We start from the raw sequence: 13,954 nt of genomic DNA, 5'->3' as shown, positions 1-13,954 counted from the left end.
TGGTTCTCCTGGTTCTCGTTTCTAGCAGCCGCCCACGCCCTGAGGAAACCCCACCTGCCAGCAAGTTTCCCTTGGGGCAGCCACAGCTGTGCTCAGTTGCAAGTTCAGGTCCAGGAGTGAGAGGTGCACTGGCAGGTGCCAGAAGGAAGTGGGGGTGCATTCCTATGGGGTCGGGGGTGTGGGTTGGGGACGGGAGGGCATCTTCAGCCTGGAGGGGGAGGGCGGTGGCGACAGAAACCGAGAAAGGCAGCTGAAGCCGTGCCGGGATACGGCGCCCCGGCAAGTGAGACTTGGGGAAATAAAGGCCTGCCCTCAGCCCTCCCCAGCCCACCCCGGCACCTCCACCGGCTGCAGTCAGCTCCCGCCACAGCAGGAGCAGGAGAAGTGTCCAGTGTCGGCGGGTCCCGGGCGGCGTGACCGTAGCCTCCTCTGTCCCTGGGTCCATGGCCCACAGAGCGCTGCTGCCGGCGGGAACTGTCAGTCAAGCCGGGCTCCCAGCTGCAGGGCCGTGACCTGCGGGACACACGGGGCGCAGGCTCCTTCGGGATTCCAGGCGCAGGGAGGCGGCCTCTGCCTGGACTCGGCTGCCGGGCGCTGCCCTCACAGAGCACAGACCGGAAACTATGGCTCCCCGCAGCTGGGATGCGGGAACCACGGAAATGCGCGAGGCCCGGCTCGGTGCTGTCAGGAGCATTGGGGTCTCCGCCCCCGATCCTGGCGCCTCCCTCCTTTTCCCGCTAGGCCTCCACCTTCCTCTGGGCCCCGGCTCTGGTAGCACCATGTCCCCCTCCATTTGCCCCTCCAGCCCCTAGAGACTCTCTGAGGCTTCCCAATGGGGTGGGGGTGCAGTGAGACCTCCATTCTTTTCTTCTTCTTTTTTTTTTTTTTTGAGACGGAGTCTCTTTCTGTCGCCCAGGCTGGAGGGCAGTGGCGCGATCTCGGCTCACTGCAACCTCCACCTCCCGGGTTCACGCCATTCTCCTGCCTCAGCTTCCCGAGTAGCTGGGACTACAGGCGCCCGCCACCACGCCCGGCTAATTTTTTGTATTTTCAGTAGAGACGGGGTTTCACCGTGTTAGCCAAGGTGGTCTCTATCTCCTGACCTCGTGATCCGCCCACCTCGGCCTCCCAAAGTGCTGGGATTACAGGCGTGAGCCACCGCGCCCGGCCGAGACCTCCGTTCTTTGTGTATAAATCAGGTGGTCTGCAACTGACATATGGTAAAGTTCACTGTTAGGTGTAGCCTTCACCAGTGTATGCAGTTGTGTAGACAGCAGCACAGCTAAGATATGTTCCCACAGCCCGGAACACTCCTTTGGGCCCCTTTGGGGTGGATTTCCTACCCTGGCCCACAGCCCCGGGCAGCCACTGCTCTGAGGCCTGTTCCCACAGTTGCCTTTTCCAGGAGGCCACGTGACTCAAACCCTGGAGGGGCCGTGCCCTCTGCCACTGCGCTGGTCCCGCGCTGTGCGGCTGTGAGCCAGGCCGCCCCCTTCCACTGCCCGTGGGTTTCCATCATACAGACACAGCTCAGCCGCCTCATCCACCCTCTGGATTGTGTCTAATCCTCAGGAATTATGAATAAAGTCACCGTAAACATTCTCGGATAGGTCTTTGTGTGGACAATGTTTCTGTTTCTTACTCTGAGATAAATGCGTGGGAGCGAGGTTGCTGGGTCACTGTAGGGTGTGTGTTTACTTTCATTAAAACTACCCAACCGTGTCTCCAAGTGGTCACCCAGTCTGCCTTCTCTCCAGCAGCGGGTGAGAGCAGCAGGTATTTCGCATCCTGCCCGGCCCTTAGGACTGTGAGTTTTTATTCTCTAGTTACCGTTTGCACTCCCATAGGTGTGTACTGTCTCACTGTGGCTTTTATTGCGTGTCCGTGAAGAGTGGCGTCGAGGACCTTTTCTTGGGCTTAGTGACAGCTCCATTCCTTCTTTAGTACATTGTTCAAATCTTTTGCCCTTTTAATTGGGTTGTTTTCTTGTTACTTTTTAAAGTTCCCTGTATATTCTGGATACGAGTCTATCACAAGTGTGCTTTGCAAATATTTTCTTCCAGTTTGTGGCTTGTATTTCATTTTCTTACCATTGGCTTTGAAGAACAGAAGTTTTTAATTTCGATGGTCCAGTTTATCACATTTTTTTCTTGTATGATTTGTACCTGTGGTGTCATGTCTAAGAAAGTCTTGCCTATTCCACGGTTGTGGCGGTTTTCTCCTGGAAAGCATGTGCTTTCAGCGTTCACATTTAGTTCCATGATCTGTTTCAAGCTAATTTTCACTTATAGCACAAAGAAAAGGGTCGGGATTCTGTTTTTTCCATGTAGACATCCCTTTGTTCCGGCACCCTTGGCTGAAAGACGACCCTTCCTCCGTTGATGACTTTGGCACATTTACAGCTTAGTTGGCTGCATTGTGTGGGTCTGTTTGTGGCCTCTGTATTCTCTTCCATCTGAGGTAGGAGGCGGGACTGGACTCTGAAGGCAGGGCTCGGACACCGAACCAAATTGAGGACTAGCTGAGACAGGGATGGGTGGAAGCAGCTTTCCATCGGACACGCCTGCCAGTGTACCATGTCACCTTACCATTGCCATGGCAACGCCTGGAGGTTACCACCCCTTTCCATAGGAACAACCCCGTGACTCGGAAATTACCACCCTTTTTCTAGAAATGTCTGCATAATCTTTTAATTGACATATAGTTAAAAGTGAGGATAAATAAGACTGCAGCAGTGCCCGGAGGTGCCACTCTCAACACCCTGCCTATGGGGAACCCTTCTCTGCAGGAACGGCTGAGACTGTCAACACCCCGCCCGTGGGGAGTCCTGCTGTGCAGGAGCAGTTTCAGAGCTGCCACTGCCGCCTCCATAAAACTGTTTTCTTCCACCACCACCTCATTCTCGAATTCTTTCCTGAGTGAAGCTACAGACCCTCTGAGGCTAAGCCCCAATTTGGGGCTCGCCTGCTGTGTGTCATATTGATCCACCTGTCCTCATGCCAATACCACGCAGTCTTGATCACTATAGCTTCATAGCAGGTCTTACATTGTAGTGTAAGATCATCAAATTTGTTCTTAAACTTGTTTTTCTATTCTAGATGCTTTGAATTGCCATATATACTTTTGAATGAGCTTCTCAATTTCCAAAATAGTCCCACAGGAATTTTGACTGGGATTACATTGATCTATAGATTAATTTGGGGAGAATTAATATCTTAACAAAACTGAGTCTTCAAATCCATGGACATGGTATATCTTTACACGCTTGGGTCTTTCCAATTTCTCTCATCAGTGTTTTGTGATGTGTTTTCAGCCTACACATTTTGCACATTTAAAAACATTTATTTCCCTGTGTTTTATGTGTTTAGTGGAGTGGTTAAAGATTTCTGAGGTAGTCCACCAAAAGCACAAACCTAAAAGCATAATTTTGTGAAAGGTGCTGTTTTTGTGTAATTTTCATGGTCATTGCTTGTATGTACAAACGCAGTCGACGTCTCCACACTGACTTTGTGTTCTCTGTTCTTGCTGAACACACCAATTAGTTCTATTAGCTTTGCCTGTAGATTTTTTTTTGTACATTCTATGAATAAAGGCTTTTATTTCTTCCTTTGGGATCTGTATGGCCTTTGTTTTTTCCTCGTGGCCCTGGCTGGGACACAGGTGGGGTCAGAGGGAGGCGCGCGCATTTCAGCCGCATTCCCTGTCTCGGGCAGCTCTTGCTCAGTTGTGTCCTGTGGCTGTTTCCCCTTTTTCTGGTCCCTCTGCAGCTGGTCCCCCGTCTGATGCCCTCCAGACCCCTGGCTCCTCCTTTCTGAACGGGCCTGGCCAGCACAGATGCAGCAGAAGAAAGTGACCCTTCCGGCCTCTCGTGGTGAGAAGGCAGCCGCCTTTGCCCAAGTGAGAAAGGGAGGCCCAGAGTGTTCGGTAAACTTTTCGGTGTGACTCAAATAGATGGGGACAACCCTGTGGATTAGGCACATCAGAGAAATTTAAGTAGACGCCGTGGCTTTTAGATCAGGCATTCTCTCAGGTCAGCATCTGGAGATACGAACACGCATGCTTCAAATGTCCACGGTCCCCATTGTTGAATGTGGCTGGCTTCTAGAAGGAAAGGTTGGGGGCTGGTGACAGAAGTGACCCCACGTCGGGAATGAGGTGGCAGGGGCAGGGATCCCTTCTCGAAGGGATTTTAAATCCTTTTGAATGTTGTGGATTTTGTTCTGTTTCTGTGTTACCTATTAAAAAATTAAGTGAAGTACTTCTAAAATTAAAGACTTGTAATCATGTGCCAGTTACAAGATTTTTATCCACGTAAATATGTGACTTCTCCCGTCCCAGTTTCAGCTCATAAAAATGTGAAGACACAGTGACATTGCAAGTATTTAAAACTTCAGACTTCAAAACTGACCCTCCTGTCCAGCTGAAGGCGTCTTGGAGTCTGAAGATTTATCCCTTTTCACTGAAATATATTGCCCAACTCAGTTTTAAGAAGTTTTTGCTTTCATGTGGCTTTATTCCTGTGAGACTCAAAACTGAGGTTCGTGTTGTGGGGGAAAGGGGAGGTTATGCAAGAGCCACGCAGCGGTCGTCAGAGGAGAGGACAGAGCCCCCACTCCGGACCCTTGAAGTCAAAGGCGCCCGCCCAGGGCTGCCGGTGGGAGGGCGGGGGGCTCAGCGAGTGAGGCGGCGGGGGAGCTCAGCGAGTGAGGCGGGGCGGGGGGCTCAGCGAGTGAGGCGGGGGGGGAGCTCAGCGAGTGAGGCGGGGCGGGGGGGGGGCGGGGGGGCTCAGCGAGTGAGGCGGGGCGGGGGGGGCGGGGGGGGCTCAGCGAGTGAGGCGGGGCGGGGGGGGCTCAGCGAGTGAGGCGGGGGGGGAGCTCAGCGAGTGAGGCGGGGCGGGGGGCTCAGCGAGTGAGGCGGGGCGGGGGGGCTCAGCGAGTGAGGCGGGGGGGGGAGCTCAGCGAGTGAGGCGGGGGGGGGAGCTCAGCGAGTGAGGCGGGGCGGGGGGCTCAGCGAGTGAGGCGGGGGGGGCTCAGCGAGTGAGGCGGGGCGGGGGGGCTCAGCGAGTGAGGCGGGGCGGGGGGCTCAGCGAGTGAGGCGGGGCGGGGGGGCTCAGCGAGTGAGGCGGGGGGGGAGCTCAGCGAGTGAGGCGGGGGGGGGAGCTCAGCGAGTGAGGCGGGGCGGGGGGCTCAGCGAGTGAGGCGGGGGGGGCTCAGCGAGTGAGGCGGGGCGGGGGGGCTCAGCGAGTGAGGCGGGGGGGAGCTCAGCGAGTGAGGCGGGGCGGGGGGGCTCAGAGAGTGAGGCGGGGCGGGGGGGCTCAGCGAGTGAGGCGGGGCGGGGGGGCTCAGCGAGTGAGGCGGGGCGGGGGGCTCAGCGAGTGAGGTGGGCCAGGCGGAGGTGTCCTGGCTGTCGTCCACCCTCGTGGTCTGCGCCATTAGAGGCCATTGGAGGGAGTCCACGTGGTGTGTCACTGGATTTCTCTCTGAGCCTCCCTGGTGTTCCTTCTCCCACATGTGCTGGGGCCTGTTTCCTGTGCCGGCCCCCTTGGTTCTTGATTTGGCTCTCGCCTGCCCTCAGTGGTGGTTTCAGCGTCCCGTGCAGCTCCAGATGGCCTGTGTATGTCTGTGTGGCAAGAGCTGAGCCGATGAGGTCACCAGGCTGATCTTAGGAACCCATGAGTGCCTGTGTGCTGTATCTACGTCCGGGTAGCTGTGGAACTGGCCGGCCCTGGCTGTGAGCGGGGGTCCCGGAGCTGGGAAGGGGCTTTTTCCAGGGCTGTTCCCAGGGCTGCTTTGCTTTGCAGAGTGGATGGTGTGAGGTGCAGCCGGCTCCCCTGAGGACATCAGATGAAGATGCTGACGTGCATGGCAGGTGTCAGCAGCACTGGAGGCAAACTGTCCTGATTCCGTCTCTCTCCTTTGGGCACTTGGAAAGCGTCTTTGTGCCTCTTTCCACCTTCCGCACCTCCCACCATGTCCTGTGGCCATGTGGTGCTCCATCATGTGGCCGACCTTGCGCTGTCCCATAGGGTCTGGAGCTGGTGCTGAGCTGGGCGTGTCTCAGACCCTCTGAGTTTGCAGACAAAGGAGGGGCCTGGTGGCCCAGGCCCACGGGCTCTGAGATTAGTCACGGAATGGACCAGTCAGGCTGAGAGGTCTCGCTCGCATGAGCCCGCGAGGCAGAGGAGCTCCTGAGGGAAGATGCGTCCTGGGACCTCGCAGGGTGGGGACGCCAACATAGGAAGGAACGCTGGCAGGAAGGCAGGGACGGAAGCTCCCTCTCCCTGCAGCCCCGGCCTGCTCGTCTGTGGGGTGTGCAGAGTGGTACCTGCTCCTCCAGGGTCACCGCAGGACCGACTGAGATGGCACCTGTGAGAGGCTGGCAGTGGAGTGTTCCCGAATTTACTGAGGCTGGACAGAGAATCAGGCCCAAGCATGTGGCTGCTGGATGCCAGGCCAGGGTTGTTCCGATGGGAGCCTGCGGAAGTTTTTTGAGACACGGAAATATAAAAGGATCTTCCTTGGAAGAGAGAACCGGGGCTGGGCTGCGCTGTCCTGGCGTGAGGCAGGGTGGCCGGGTAGGAGGCCCAGGCCGCTCCCGGGAGCCCAGGTCATGCACAATGTGCTCAGACCCTGTGGCTGCGGACGCTGCGGTGAACCGGGTCTGCGGGGACCCAGAGTTTCTCACTTCAGTGACTGGACCAAGATCCTTAAGGAGGGCGTGTGTGTCTCTGGGTGCAGAACGAAGACGTGAGGAGTCTGCCAACATTTCCTTCCTCACTCCTGCTCTCGTGTGTGCTCTGTGATGGGCTCAGACTTCACATGTGTGTGCGACTCCCTAGGAGTTCACGTGCATCGGTCAACAGAGGTGCATGTGCTGCCGTGGGTGCTCACCGTGGTGGGTGGCGTGGTCCGCAGTGTGCGGAGGCCACTGGCAGGGTTGACATGGTGGTGCCATGAAGGGACGCAGGATGGGAGATGGCTCGGTGCCCAGCGCCTGACAAGCCCTGTCCTGCCGGGGATGGGATGGGCACACGTTTGCCGCGCCTCGGGAATGTTTCTGGAATGAGGTGAACGTATAAGCAGATAATAATGGTTGCAGATGCGAATTTACACATATAAATCCATACTAGGTAAACGTATATTGTACAAATATATTCTGATACGTATTTTCACTGGAAGCGTAGCCCCAAAGTACTAAGCCTGTTTAAGGCACGGGAAACTGTTTAGAGTGGACGTTCCCAGACTTTGGGGCCCACACAAGTGCCCAGGGACCTGTGGTGGTGCAGATTCCAGCCCACACCAGAGCCTCTGTTCTCCTCCGTCTGGAGAAGGCCAGGAATCTACACTTTCAGGCTCTCCAGGGGTCCCAGAAGGCGGCTCATTCATTACACTTTAGAGGCACAGATTCAGACCAACCCACGTCGCGTGGGAAGGTGGCAGCTCATTCTGGCTCTCAGTCCTGCCTGTGAATAACCTGAGCACCCACATGCATGCACACACGTGCGTGTCCACACACACGGAAAGCACCCTAGGCACACGTGTGTTTCAGGCTGTCGCTCGCACGGGTGCACACGTGTCTCTTGTGGCGTGATGCTGCTGCCTTGGTGGTGTGTGAGGCACGGGGTGTTCATTTGTGAGATCAGAGCTCTGGTGCAGCCAGCTCCGAGGCACCTCCTGCTGTGAGAACTGGCCACGGACCACAGTGAAAGTGAGGCGCACATTGCCGATGGAGCGGACGTTCGCGCCTTCACAGCGAAGCCTCTGGAACGCCTTACTGGAAGGGACACAGTGGAGACTTACCGCTGCACCTGATTATTTTGACTTTTTAATATCAATTTTTAGAGATACAGTGCCACCATGCCCGGCTCATTCCTTTATTTTTTGTAGAGACAAGTTTTCACCATATCGCTCAGGCTGGTCTCAAGCGACCCTCCCCCCTGGGCCTCCCAAGCGTGGGGGTTCCAGGCATGAGCCCCGCACCCGGCCGGTGCCCCATTCTGAATTAAACTGTTGGAAATAAGCTGCGGTGATGATGGGCTGGCTTCTGCTCACAGGCGTCCTGGCTCTGGGGCCTGTGCCCGTGGTGAAGTCTTCTCTGCTTGTGTTGCAGGGAAGGTGGCCATCCAGAAGGAGGACTTGCAGAAGTACCACAACAGGGACACCTGGTTCCAGCTGCAGCACGTGGACGCTGACTCGGAAGTGCAGGTGAGACTCTCGGCGCAGCCCCGGAAACCAGAGCCCTGGGACACCATGGGGCTTCGAGACGGGCCCGGCTCCGACTGTGGCTAAAGACGTAGATCGGGCTTCGGCCTTGACTGGGAATAACGATGAGCAGATTGCGTGTTCGCCCACTTGTGCTCGGAGTGAGCGCGGGCTCCGCCATGGATTTTGGGTTGTGCGTGTTCGCCTGCTTGTGCTCGGAGTGAGCGCAGGCTCTGCCATGGATTTTGGGTTGTGCATGTTCGCCCGCTTGTGCTCGGAGTGAGCGCGGGCTCCGCGTGTGGATTTTGGGTTGTGCGTGTTTGCCTGCTTGTGCTCGGAGTGAGCGCAGGCTCTGCCATGGATTTTGGGTTGTGCGTGTTCGCCCGCTTGTGCTCGGAGTGAGCGCGGGCTCCGCCATGGATTTTGGGTTGTGCGTGTTCGCCCGCTTGTGCTCGGAGTGAGCGCGGGCTCCGCCATGGATTTTGGGTTGTGCGTGTTCGCCCGCTTGTGCTCGGAGTGAGCGCGGTCTCTGCCATGGATTTTGGGTTGTGCGTGTTCGCCCGCTTGTGCTCGGAGTGAGCGCGGTCTCTGCCATGGATTTTGGGTTGTGCGTGTTCGCCCGCTTGTGCTCGGAGTGAGCGCGGTCTCTGCCATGGATTTTGGGTTGTGCGTGTTCGCCCGCTTGTGCTCGGAGTGAGCGCGGTCTCTGCCATGGATTTTGGGTTGGGCGTGTTCACCCGCTTGTGGTCGGAGTGAGCGCAGGCTCTGTCATGGATTTTGCATTGTGTCTGTTCGCCCACTTGTGCTCGGAGTGAGCCTGGGCTCCGTGCATGGATTTTGGGTTTTCCCTTTGCCTACTGCCGCCCTTTGTCATGCACAACTGAGGAAGCTGTGAAAACAAACACGGTGGGAAAGGACAGGCACGCGTCATTGAGGCCCAAGAGAAAACATGGGTGGGGAAGGGCCGAGCCAGGGTCAGCCCTCAGGGACCCTCACTTCCCCACGGTTGGCTGGGCGGGCTGTTGCCTGGCACGCGGCACCAAGAAGGGTCTGAGCTGAAAGAGCGTTCTGGTCTCCCGTGTCCATTGTCGAAAGTGGCCAGGGGCTCACCCTGGCTTGCCGGGACTGTGTGCTGACTGGGGCTCACCCCGGTCCTGTCCAGTGGGGGGAGCTTGTCCCACCTCCCCACGCAAGACCGGGGGCTCCAGTGCTGGGGCCCATGTCCCAGACCCTTGTGTTCACAGCTGCTCACGGACGCACGGTGCCCAGCTGCCCGGCAACAGCTGCTCCAGGCTTGCCTGTAACAGAGGGAGCAGTGGGGGTCAGTCCACCGGAGCCCAAGCCTGCACCAGCTCCTGTGGGGTCACCCTGAGCCCTGGTCTGTGACACAGAGCAGCTGCAAAGGCCACAAGCAAGAGGCACCGTGGCCCAACCCTGGGACGTGGGAGGGTTTCCCAAGTGGGTCCTCAGCTGGGACCACAGTAAGTGTCTGAGTGTAGGGTTGCGGCACAGGGTCCCTGGGACACCGGACGGCTTCCTGGGTCCTCAGCTGGGACCGCAGTGAGCGTCTGAGTGTAGGGTTGTGGCACAGCGCCCTTGGGACGCGGGAGGGCTTCCTGGGTCCTCAGTTGGGACCGCAGTGAGTGTCTGAGTGTAGGGTTGCTGCACAGCGTCCCTGGGACACAGGAGGGCTTCCTGGGTCCTCAGCTGGGACCGCAGTGAGTGTCTGAGTGTAGTGTTGCTGCACAGCGGCCCTGGGACGTAGGAGGGTGAGTGTCTGAGTATGGGGTTGCAGCACAGCGGCCCTGGGATGTGGGAGGGCTTCCTGGGTCCTCAGCTGGTACCACAGTGTGTGTCTGAGTGCAGAGTCCCAGCACAGGCCGCCAGGCTCGGAGCCAGCTCCCTCATCGGATTGTTGCCAACGTCCTTTGCAGGCCTCAGTTTTCCCATCTGGGTGGGTTTGTGAAGCGTGCTGGTATGGCGTGTGTGCCACTCGAAGGCACCTGGCGCATCGTAAATTGGTGGCTGTGATGGTTATTTTTACACCTGGAGGCTGGCATCCTGGACAAATCCCCAAAATAGGTTCCTTGTGAGGACTTCGCCTGAGACTTCAGCAGAGGCAACTGGGTGGGTCGGATGGAGGCTCTGTGCCCGCAAGTTCAGGGCAAATTTGGGCTGGGGGACTGGATGGCCTGGTGTCCTCTGGGAACCCTTGTCCCCCGGCAACCCTCATCCTCCTGGAACCCTCATCCCTCGGGAACCCTCGTCCTCTGGGAACCCTCGTCCTCTGGGAACCGTCTTGCCCTGGCAACCCTCATCCTCTGCGCTTCACTGGGTCAAGGTTGCCATTTGCCAAGGTCATGAGCTGTGCACACGCCCATGGCCAGCAAAGGGTTCATTCATGAAGTTGACCATGAGCCCAGCTGTGGGGGTGGGGTGAGGCCCTTGACGGAAATTAAGGAGTGGAGCCAAGAAGCCCTGGGGATGGCCCTGCCCCAAGGGACCTGTGCTAATTGTGCGTCACACTTAATTAACTCTGCTTCCTGGGAAAGCACTGGCTGGGGAACCCACACGTGCTGTGGAAAGTGAAGGACGCTGTGATTACTGCAGAACTAATGACTGTCCTCGCATCCCCGGAGCACAAGGGCCCCAGCGTGCTGCTCCCACGGACCTTGGCGTCCCGGCAGAAAGGCGGGGTTTCCCACGTGCTGCCCGGGAGACGGGGCTTGGTGACTGGGCCGCTCCCGCCTGCGTGTCGGCGAGTTCCCCAGCTCTTCTATTCTGGGATACCCGCCGTCGCTGGGGTCTCCGTCACAACGGCCTCTGAGCAGCTGGCAGAGTGCGGCCTCGTCGTTTGCCTCGGATTCAAGTTTGGTTTTATTGGCAGGTGTAGCTTTTCCTCTTTCTTGCCTTTTTTTTTTTTTTACTGATTTAATTTTGAAATGGTTATAGATCTATAGGAAGGCATCAAAACAGTACACAGGAGTGGCGAGGGGCGAATTCCCACCTTTCCCTGAAAACGGAAGGCCGTGCTCCCTTCTCCCGGCTCCCCCGAACGGAAGGCCGTGCTCCCTTCTCCCGGCTCCCCCGAACGGACGGCCGTGCTCCCTTCTCCTGGCTTCCCCAAACAGAAGGCTGTGCTCCCTTCTCCCGGCTTCCCCAGGCACTGCCATGCGCAGCTGGTGCAACGTCAACCAGGACGCCGACGTTTGTGCAGTCCACGGATGTTATCCAGATTTCACCAGTTCACAGGCACGTGTTTCTGTGTGTGTCTCTCTGTGTATTCTATGCTATTTTTTCCAGTTTTTTATGTGGTAAAACAGAGACATGAAATTTACCATTTTAACCATTTAAAATGTCCAATTCAGTGGTATAGCATTGAATATATTCATAATATTGTATAACCGTCACCACCACCCATCTCTAGAGCTCCTTTCATCTTGCAAAACGGAACCTCCGTCCCCTCTGTCCCCTGGCTAGAGTTTTATTCACACGCTCCCGTCCGCCCCTTCCCCACCGGCAGCCCCATGGCACTCTGTCTCTGACGCAGGCCACTCCCCGTGGCTCATGGGAGTGAGCTCTACCCTGCTGGTCTTTCTGAGGCTAATGTCGCTCTGCGTGACATCCTCCGGGTCGCTTGTGGTATCAGAACCTCCTTCCTTCCAAGGCTGAGGAATGGTCCGAGGTGCGAAGCGTGTGCTGTTGCTCCAGTCACCTGCCGATGGGCTGTTGTGACAGTCGGTGCAACTTCATCACAGGGTAGATAGTGTAACCACCATGACGATCAGGACTCAGACGTTGCATCTCCACAAAGCTGTAAATAAGAATGCCGCAGGTTGATCTCACAGCTGGTGGAATCTCATAATTAACGCCCGAGGCTGCGTACCCGTGGCCAAGCCCAGCGTCCTCCAAGCCTGACTCTCACTGTCCGGAACATGAGGATCCTGAACCGAGTGGTGTCAGTCTCCCGGGAATTTGCACTTTATGGAAGGCAAATGCGAGCTGTTGTCTAAAAGGGAGGAGGCAAGGTCATTGCTCTCCAATGCCCGCTGCTCTCCAATGCGTTGCTTCACTGATGCAGTCAGCCCCAACGCCGCCCAAAACGTAGCGTGACAGGGAGCAGTGGCCCTGCTGGACTCCAGCCAACCTTTAAAACCTCAACTCCAGGCTGGGCGCGGTGGCTCATGCTTGTAATTCCAGCACTTTGGGAGGCCGAGGCGGGTGGATCACCTGAGGTCAGGTGTTTGAGACCAGCCTGACCAACATGGTGAAACCCCGTCTCTACTGAAAATACAAAATTAGCCGGGCGTGGTGGCGCATGCCTGTAATCCCAGCTACTCCGGAGGTTGAGGCAGGAGAATCGCTTGAACCCGGGAGGCGGAGGTTGCTGTGAGCTGAGATCGCGCCATTGCACTCCAGCCTGGGCAACAAGAGTGAAACTCCATCTCAAAAAAAGAAGAAGAAGAAGAAAAAAAACCCCACAACTCCAGTCTCAGGAGCCGCCGTTTCATCATAAGATGTCACAGTGACCATTTTCAGGAAGGCAGGGGGTAGCCATGTGGCTCCATGAGTCCCTCCGCTCTGTGATTCCCAGGAACAGTCCTGTGTCCGGACAGCGAGTGTCACAGAAGCAGCCCATGGGGGAGGCCAGCAAGTGAGTCACAGAAATGGGGGAAACACAATTAAACCTTTCTTGCTTCCTTCTGGAACGGCCACTGTTGGAAAGTCTTTGTTAAATCACTTTATTATGCAGAGTTGTGCTCTCTGACCCTCCCCTGATGCAGGGCCAGCGGGGGAGACGCCAGCGTCAGATGCCAGTGGGGGAGATGCCAGCGTCAGATGCCAGCGAGGGCACCGCCTGTGACAGCGAGGCATCCGCGGTGATCTGGGCGCCTGGGGGTCACTGAGCTCCGTTTATAAACCAGGCTTTCAAGTGCATCTGTGACGTATTCAGAAAATAGCACAGCCCTGCAGGGGATCACAGCAAACCCCTGGGTCTGCCATCCGCCCAAGAGACACCTACGTGTTTCCCCCTTGGAGCCTTCCAGTTGCACCGTGAAATCTCACTGGGCTGGAAATTCCAGCCTCCTGCTACAGCCTCTGGGAATTTTGTGTTTGTGCAGCAGACAGTCCTCTTGGAAGGATTTTCGGAGCAAACAAAGTCACCGTCCGTCGTCAAGCTTTCACATCTCTCCAGGGTTGTAAGAGGAGACGGCCGAGGCTGGGCTTCCTTCCTCATGGCCTCTGCATCCTGTCTCATCTGCCCGCGGACTTCGTCTCCTCTCTGCGGCCGGCGTGGAACAGTCCTGCATCCAAGGCACCTCTGTCCTGGCTGCTCTCTGGGCCGCTGCCCGCTCAGTGGGGGACACGGCAACCGGTGGGTGGGGCCAGGACCCTGACCCGGCTCTGCGCGCTGCTCTCTCCCTGGGGAAGGCCTTCCTGAGAAAGATGGATAGGGACCATTGGCTGCTTTTTAAAAATTAATTAACTCTGTTTTGGGGGCAGTTCTGTGTTCACAGGGAAATTGAGCAGAGTACAGAGTTTCCATACACCCCTCAGCAGCCCCCGCCCAGGGCCCCATGGGTGACACTGCAGCCACACGTTGTCAGGAGCTGGACGCTGGGGCCCCTTTGCTGCGTCTGTGAGTTCGCAGGAGTGCAGCGCCAGGGACCTCAGTGCAGCGTCCAGGCAGGTGCCAGGGTCGGCAGCCAGGTCCTCTCGTTCCTTTCCTGTGGGAATTTGTGCCTTTTCCC

General features: G+C 57.1%; 1 protein-coding gene across 15 annotated transcripts in view, besides 8 other annotated features; it reads left to right on the top strand.

The window, feature by feature from the left end:
- RASA3 (RAS p21 protein activator 3) overlaps window positions 1-13,954 on the top strand; it is a 154,841-nt gene that overhangs the window by 83,420 nt on the left and 57,467 nt on the right. For all 15 annotated transcript variants that reach the window (XM_047430157.1, NM_007368.4, NM_001320821.2 and 12 more), the window contains one exon: window positions 8,110-8,204. Coding sequence is in view for 8 of the 15 variants with exons in the window: in NM_007368.4 (NP_031394.2) it covers window positions 8,110-8,204 (95 nt within the window). In the remaining 7 variants the exon portion in view is untranslated. The remainder of the gene's footprint in view (window positions 1-8,109; window positions 8,205-13,954) is intronic.
- Window positions 330-1,119: an enhancer, noted in NCBI's record as "H3K27ac-H3K4me1 hESC enhancer chr13:114813561-114814350 (GRCh37/hg19 assembly coordinates)". NCBI's record gives its function as "activates a minimal SCP1, AML or CMV promoter by ChIP-STARR-seq in naive H9 embryonic stem cells {active_cell/tissue: H9 hESC(naive)}" and the evidence as "EXISTENCE:reporter gene assay evidence [ECO:0000049][PMID:30033119]".
- Window positions 1,120-1,911: an enhancer, noted in NCBI's record as "H3K4me1 hESC enhancer chr13:114812769-114813560 (GRCh37/hg19 assembly coordinates)". NCBI's record gives its function as "activates a minimal SCP1, AML or CMV promoter by ChIP-STARR-seq in primed H9 embryonic stem cells {active_cell/tissue: H9 hESC(primed)}" and the evidence as "EXISTENCE:reporter gene assay evidence [ECO:0000049][PMID:30033119]".
- Window positions 5,368-5,467: an enhancer, noted in NCBI's record as "active region_8047". NCBI's record gives its function as "activates an Ori minimal core promoter by ATAC-STARR-seq in GM12878 lymphoblastoid cells {active_cell/tissue: GM12878}" and the evidence as "EXISTENCE:reporter gene assay evidence [ECO:0000049][PMID:35858748]".
- Window positions 5,728-5,867: an enhancer, noted in NCBI's record as "active region_8046". NCBI's record gives its function as "activates an Ori minimal core promoter by ATAC-STARR-seq in GM12878 lymphoblastoid cells {active_cell/tissue: GM12878}" and the evidence as "EXISTENCE:reporter gene assay evidence [ECO:0000049][PMID:35858748]".
- Window positions 9,069-9,963: an enhancer, noted in NCBI's record as "H3K27ac-H3K4me1 hESC enhancer chr13:114804717-114805611 (GRCh37/hg19 assembly coordinates)". NCBI's record gives its function as "activates a minimal SCP1, AML or CMV promoter by ChIP-STARR-seq in primed H9 embryonic stem cells {active_cell/tissue: H9 hESC(primed)}" and the evidence as "EXISTENCE:reporter gene assay evidence [ECO:0000049][PMID:30033119]".
- Window positions 11,815-13,014: an enhancer, noted in NCBI's record as "BRD4-independent group 4 enhancer chr13:114801666-114802865 (GRCh37/hg19 assembly coordinates)". NCBI's record gives its function as "activates an origin of replication core promoter dependent on BRD2, P300/CBP, MED14 and CDK7 cofactors, and independent of BRD4, by STARR-seq in HCT116 cells {active_cell/tissue: HCT116}" and the evidence as "EXISTENCE:reporter gene assay evidence [ECO:0000049][PMID:35650434]".
- Window positions 11,815-13,513: a biological region, named in NCBI's record as "BRD4-independent group 4 enhancer GRCh37_chr13:114801666-114802865".
- Window positions 12,945-13,513: an enhancer, noted in NCBI's record as "H3K4me1 hESC enhancer chr13:114801167-114801735 (GRCh37/hg19 assembly coordinates)". NCBI's record gives its function as "activates a minimal SCP1, AML or CMV promoter by ChIP-STARR-seq in naive H9 embryonic stem cells {active_cell/tissue: H9 hESC(naive)}" and the evidence as "EXISTENCE:reporter gene assay evidence [ECO:0000049][PMID:30033119]".

The sequence above is a fragment of the Homo sapiens genome, chromosome 13, assembly GCF_000001405.40.
Source record: "Homo sapiens chromosome 13, GRCh38.p14 Primary Assembly".
NCBI lineage: Eukaryota > Metazoa > Chordata > Mammalia > Primates > Hominidae > Homo > Homo sapiens.
This window is presented reverse-complemented; position numbering and strand designations above follow the sequence as displayed.